At 32.9% G+C, this 7,001-nt stretch overlaps 1 annotated feature.

Annotated features, from left to right (window-relative positions):
- Nucleotides 389-589: a silencer, noted in NCBI's record as "peak2084 fragment used in MPRA reporter construct". NCBI's record gives its function as "represses an SCP1 promoter by STARR-seq MPRAs in K562 erythroleukemia cells {active_cell/tissue: K562}" and the evidence as "EXISTENCE:reporter gene assay evidence [ECO:0000049][PMID:32103011]".

Genomic DNA, 7,001 nt, shown 5'->3' with positions numbered 1-7,001 from the left:
ATTAGAACTGCAAGGAAAGAGCAAGAAAAGAAACTATTTAGGAGTAAAACATAATAACAGTGAGCCCCTGTGCTGGTCAGGGCTCCAGAGAAGAAGAACCAATAGAATGCAGAATATGTGTGCGTGTGTTGGGGGGGGTGGGGTATACACACACACACACGAGACAGAGACAGAGAGAGAGAAAGAAAGAAAAGAAGAAAAGAAAAGAAAAGAAAGAGAGAAAGAAAAAGAAAGAAAGAAAAAGAAGAAAGAAAGAAAAAAAGAAAGAAAGAAAGAAAGAAAGAAAGAAAGAAAGAAAGAAAGAAAGAAAGAACGAACGAACACATCATGTATTATAAGGAATTGGCTCACACAATTATGGAAGCTGAGAAATCCTACGAGCAGCAGTTGGCAAGCTGGAGACTCAAGAGAGTTGAGTTGATGGTGTACTTCTAGTCCAAGCCTGAAGTCCAGAGAACCAAGAAAGTCAATGGCGTAAAGTTCCAGTCTAAAAGCCAGCAGGCTTGAGAACCAAGAAGAGCCCATGTTTCATTTAGATTCTGAAAGCAATAAAAGGCCAATGTCCCAGCTCAAGCTGTCAGATAGGAAGAGTTTGCCCATACTCATGGAAGGTCAGCCTTTTGGTTCTATTCAGGTCTTCAACTGATTGGATGAGGGTCACCCACAAAAAAGAGGTCAATCTACTTTGCTTTACTCAGTCTATTGATTCAGTTGTTAATCTCAACCAAAAACATTCCTACAGACACACCCAGAAAAAAATGTCTGATGAAATATTTGGGCACCCCATAGCCCAGTCAAGTTGACATACAAAATTAACCATCATGTCCCAATATCCAGTGATATCATACTAGTCACATGTTATGGACACATTAAGGTAAGAAACGATTGTTCACAGGTGGGATTGTGTAAGCAAGTGCCCTGAAAATCAACTCCATGAATCTTCTGAAAAATATATGAAAATATAATTTAGGACAAAAAGAAGTATTCCACATTCCACCTGACACTTTATATCACACATCAATTTTCTTTTTGCCATAATGAATGGCAATTTATTTGTACTTATCATAAGCTTAGCTGGGAATAAGTAAAAGTGCTGCACTAATAGCTTCATTGACACATTGCTGAATTTGTCGGTGTTGGTTCAAACACCAGAAAAAGCTCATTATTGTTTGAAGTATATTATCCAACACAAAGTTATCTATGTTTAGAATATCCCCTTAGCAGTAAGATTAGTATCTAAAATAAGCAGAATGATCTAAAAAAATTTTAGTATTAAAGACTTTTCTATTTTTGCATTTTGTTATTAATACAAATGAGTGTTAATGAAAAATGCATTGGGATTAATGAAAAGGTGGCAGAACCCTGGTTACACCACTCACCAGCTTTGAGATTTCAAGTGAGCTAGTTACTCCCCAGCGACCTCAGTTTCTTGCAAAATATAATTCCTGCCCTCTCAACTCACAATGTTGAGAATTAAATGAGATGATGTATGTGATGCTGCTTTATGAGCTCCAAACACTATGAGTTCATGCAACAAGGACTTAAAGTCTTGTATATCCATGAATTGCTCAGGCGGCTGAAGAAAACAATTACATCATAATCTCCTATCTCTTGGAATTCAGAAATGTAAGTGAAGGAATAAATGTGTTGGGTTAGGAGCTACAAATAATCTAGTGTGAGCGGAACTCGGCATGTACCTGGAGATGTGGTAGAAAATAAAATTATAAATGAAGTTAGAATTCATTTTTAGAAGGCCCTTACACATCCTGATTGGGAGATTAGAATTGTTCTTTTAGGCTAAGAAGAGCTATTAAAGTATTTGTAACATAGAGATGATATGATCAGTTTTATGTTTTCAGACACTCCCTTTGGCAACAGTATATTACACTGTAGAAGACCTTAATCTTTATGGATTATGGAATGCTACCTCATACCAATAACTAACATATTGTTGATTTTAGACATATAGCTTATATAAATAAAGATAGCAATAAAATGAATCAGCCGAAGTTTCAAACCTGTAGGAGTAGCTTAATAGTCTATCTTCCTACTAGTCTTCACATGTGTGTTTTTTTGTTTTTGTTTTTGTTTTGCCCTTTATCAGCAAGTGGTCTTATGTCTAGTCAACAGAGGAGGAAACTGAAGCAGAGATGTTCTGTAGGATGTTTAAAGAAGCACATCTAAGTGTTGTTGTGAATGGTCACATTGACTAGCAGAGTGTGATTCCTGGAAGGGAAGACTTTCTGCCTTATAGCTCTTGTGTGCACGTTGATATAGCTCTTTAGTGTTGGGAGGTAGAACTGAGGTGCTTACATGTGATGTATATGGTAAATGCTCAATAATAATAGTCTATGTTCTAGTCATTAATCAGACTTTATACTTTAGGAGAAACCTGTGCACAAACTATTATAAAACAGAGACCTAAAATCGTCATCACGTGACCCACATAATAAAAGAGATTATGATCATTTGCAAACTCTCTGTATAAACATTGCATTTAGAAGTAATAAAAATCGTTTTGTATCACTAAGATGAATAACACCAAAACAAAGGAAAAAAATAGTCCATTTGTTGCCTTAGGTGACTCTCAAAGGAGAATATGTAAACATATGAACAACAATTAGCCTTCCTTATGACTTACACAGAATGTGAATTAGGCTAATAAGTCATCATTCCCATCCTTTGCAGTCCTGTAAATGTGCTATCTCTTCTTTGGAGTCAACCAGACATAGTCCACAGAATATGCATACTATTGTTTGAATTTATATTTCTAAAAAAATAAAAACAGTCTGGCATATTGGCAAGACTGAAAATGAAGGGACTTAATAAAATTTGATCCTAACCCTCACACTTATTTTCTGAGAAATCTTAAATAACTATTTCATTTTCCTACACATCACCTTTATCATCTTTTTTCAGTACAATTATTTTATAACCGACAACCTGTTACACAAAATTTAGCACCTGAAGTTATACTCTCATATATTATTATCTGCTTATTTTCACTGCATACAACTTAACTCTTAAATGAGATCGCAACTTTTCATGTTTTCCAGAGGAGGCAGCATAGTATTAAACACATGGTTGACTGACTTTAAAAATCTGCTTTTAATTAGGAGATATACCTAATGTAAATGACGAGTTAATGGGTGCAGCACACCAACATGGCACATGTATACATATGTAACAAACCTTCATGCACATGTACCCTAGAACTTAAAGTATAATAAAAAAAATCTGCTTTTATATTACCTTTACGTTTTATCGTTTTAGAGTTAGTTGACAATTCAATATGCAATAATAACTCTACTGGTTAGATTTACGAGGGTAGATTTTCTAAAATAAAACCAATTATTTTTCATAAGTTGAAGGATTCATCCTCTGAGTTTCATGAGTAGTCTATGAGTTCGATGTGATATGCTAACTGTTCTACTTAACAAATAATATTAACTCTTTGGATTATTCATGGTATTAAATGAATATATTATCACAAAATGTAAGCAAGCTTGCTATGCTTTATTTCTACAATTCCAAGGAAAACTTCCACTAAGGAATTATAATTTATCTGTAATTAATTATAACATGTAACAAATTACAAAAAGCCTATAAAGCAAAAGGGACAACTGTGTATTTATACCCTACAGACACTGTGATAAATACTTTAGAAACAAAATCTTAGTTTTAGGATGAAATCGTCTTTTTGAGTGCACACTCATACCATGGAAGTTTCCTGCTTAAAATATCTACGAAGGAGTTGATCAAGAGGCCTGTGGGTTTTCCATACAATTGTGCAGGAGGCATGTATCTTAAATAAAGAATAAAAGGGCAAATGGAATACAAAATTTGGAACAAAGAATTTGATTCCCTGCACCTGTTTTTCAGAAAGGTTTTAATATGTAAACATAAACAATTAAAAAGAAAGCCTAAAACTCACAATATATAACAAGAGTGACTGAAGGTTATTCTGTCTGAGATATTATTTTTTTGAATTATTATATAAATGATACCTATCCTTTGAATTCATAGGAATAATATATTATTATCTGTATACTCAGTTGTTTCTGCCCAATTCAAGTAATAGAAGTGAACCTATTATATTAGATAGAAAAATGTAGCACCAAGACAGTTAAACTGACCGAATGGTGGCTCTAAAGGACAAAATCAAAGGAGATTTTGCAAAAGTTCAAAGATGTACAAAAGGGGGAATGATTGCTACTCTTCAGTCTTCGTACAGAAACACTTACTTTATATTTTATCAAGAAGTATTTTGTAAATACAATCCAAAAAAAGTTGATAAAAATCATGATTTCAAAACTTTACTAAAGTCTATTTCTAGATTTTCTTTGTAAATTGATACATTTAACAAAATCTTACTTAATATTAAAAAAATAGATTCACTTCAAATTAAAAACAGCAAAATCAGTTTATTTTACATTGTTAATTTAATTTCAAAGCCTAGACAAATATTTTAATGAATTTATGCAATTCATAATTAATACATCAGGAATTTAAGGAGTCTAAAGCACAATAAAAACAGCACAGTAGATTTATACATTCATTTTTGTGGTCTATTGATAATTTATTATCTACTTTTTACTAGCCTGAAATGAAAACAGTGTCTTTAAAACCATCAACTTTCTTTATTAAATCAGAATAATGAACTATTAACTCATGGAGACAAAGATAACTTCATTAATGATGATAGGAAGCTGGCTCAGAAATAAGTTATTTCTGACTCATCTTTTGTTTTTAGATTGAACTTCAAAAGAGTAATGAGAATCAGTTTTTCTTCTGTTCTCTCTCAAAGCTTTTTGTAAATGTGTTGGAGAAGTTTTGGGAGATATAGAGCTATGTAATGCTAGGATAACTCTGGGAAAGAAATACGTTACTGTATTTTAAAATATTTACTTCCACTATGTCCTATCGACGGTACTAAATAATTATCAGCAGAAGAAATCCGTGACATGAACCACTGTTCAGCAATTATAAATAAGAAAATAGGTTTGTGATTTTCAGTTGCTACGATACACATTTAACCATGAGCACTAAGGGTATAAATTGTTGGAACTTTACTAACTGTTGAGTTTTAAATGTGTAATGATCATTGCTTCACAATGTTAAATGTGAAATGATTTATATGCCTTTAGGGAGGTACCTAGTATCCAAAAGTATAATAAAGTTAGGTGAATTTCATATTAACAGAAACATATTTTTGCTGAAATAATGTTAATATGAAATGAAATTGTAAAGGTGAATTCTATTAAAGGATTAAGCTTACTTTGTTTCTTCTCCTTATTATTATTTTACTTCTTTCTATTCTCCTCCTTCTCGTTTCTTCTCTTCTTATTCTTCATCCCCTTTTTTTGATTTCTGAGGCCCCTTCCAACTCTAAATGGGTTCTGGCAATCTGTGAGTTAGAACACAATGCCCCTCCCCCTCATCCAGGTACTAGCTCACAATCCATTTACTCTTCTAAGAAACTCTCTCTCTTCCCTTTACTACCAATATCTTCCCCTCTGCTCGTACCAGCCCTCAGTCCTAATGCTCAACACCTCATACCAGGCACACCTGCACCCACTGCCCCTTGCTCCACTTGTCAGTCTCCGGATCTCCTTTAAGAGCCATTTTAAACATCACTTCCTTCACTAAATGTCTCCAGATTTCCCCAAATAATTTGTTGAATTCAGGAAACCAAAGGAAGTATGTCTTGTCATCAAGGGTGTATTTAGGATGATGTTAAGGCTAGAGAAGTGGGCAGGAACTGTGTCAAGAATAATATGGATTGCTAAACCAACAAATCTGAACTTTATCATAGAAGTCATGGAGTTCATGAAGAACTTCAAGCAGGAATAGATTATATTAATGTTTGTGTTTTAGAAAAATTCCTCTAATTGACAATAAAGGATGGTTTGGAAACAAGAAAGACTGGAGCCAGGGGAAGTGTTGTTTTATCTCTTTCAATAATCACATAAATACACAAATAGACTGTAGATGTTTTTATGGCATAGACTGCATCTTATACTTAAGAATTTTATTACCAAATGACACTGTTATAAATTTATACTTGTAAGAATGCTCAACGTTGATGACCTATGTAAGTTTTATCACATTTTAAAGAAGAGAGGAACCAAAACAGTATGGATTTTGCACAATTAAGTTAATAACTTTTTTCTTAAAGATGTACACACAAAGACACATGCACACACATATATATACTGTAAATTACATATATATATACCTAAATTACATTGAAATTGGTATAGCCACAGATTTTTAAATCAAACTTTAACAGGATAAATAATGTGTTAGGTGTCTACGTAACCATAATTGTTTATTGCCTAAGAGGCAACACATGCTGGCACAGACGTTGAATAGAGAAAATTTAAAAATATTTCTTTGGTTCAAAGGCTATAGTTGTCATTGTTTCTAAGCTACTCCCACCACCCTCATAGTTTCCATAAATACGTGTAGGTTCTCAAAGATCTTAGTGTTATTTGTTTTCAAGAAACAAAGTTCAATGCTCATGGCAAATAAATCACACCTACCTTCTATAAATTAATTCATGACAAATTTTAAAAATTAAAGAAATTCTCAGAAAAAGCAACTAACCAAATAGTACCAAAATAAAATAAAGAACATTGAACAGGTAAAAATTATGACTTCTTTTAACCACCAAAATTAACATTAAGAATTCAGTAAATTTGAGAAAATGTGAGTGACAGGTATTTAACATAAATTATCTTCTGTCTTAAATAATCTGTGGATTGTAATACCACACACCTACACATGCATACATAAAATCCATATGCATTTCATCTATATATATTAGAATTATTATTTCATATGTAAAAGTGGTGGAATCTGAGACAACTGTCTAAATAGAACCAATGGTAGTTTTATTCCATTTTTCTAATAAACTAGGCTGGAATTTTACAGATTCAATTTAGTGCAGTAAAGTTCAGTGCAGAAGTAGGTGAGTTGAAATCTAGAAGGATTAAGAT

Source organism: Homo sapiens, chromosome 13 (genome assembly GCF_000001405.40).
Source record: "Homo sapiens chromosome 13, GRCh38.p14 Primary Assembly".
Classification (NCBI taxonomy): Eukaryota; Metazoa; Chordata; class Mammalia; order Primates; family Hominidae; genus Homo; species Homo sapiens.
The sequence above is the reverse complement of the archived record's forward strand: the minus strand, read 5'-3'. Positions and strand labels throughout refer to the sequence as shown.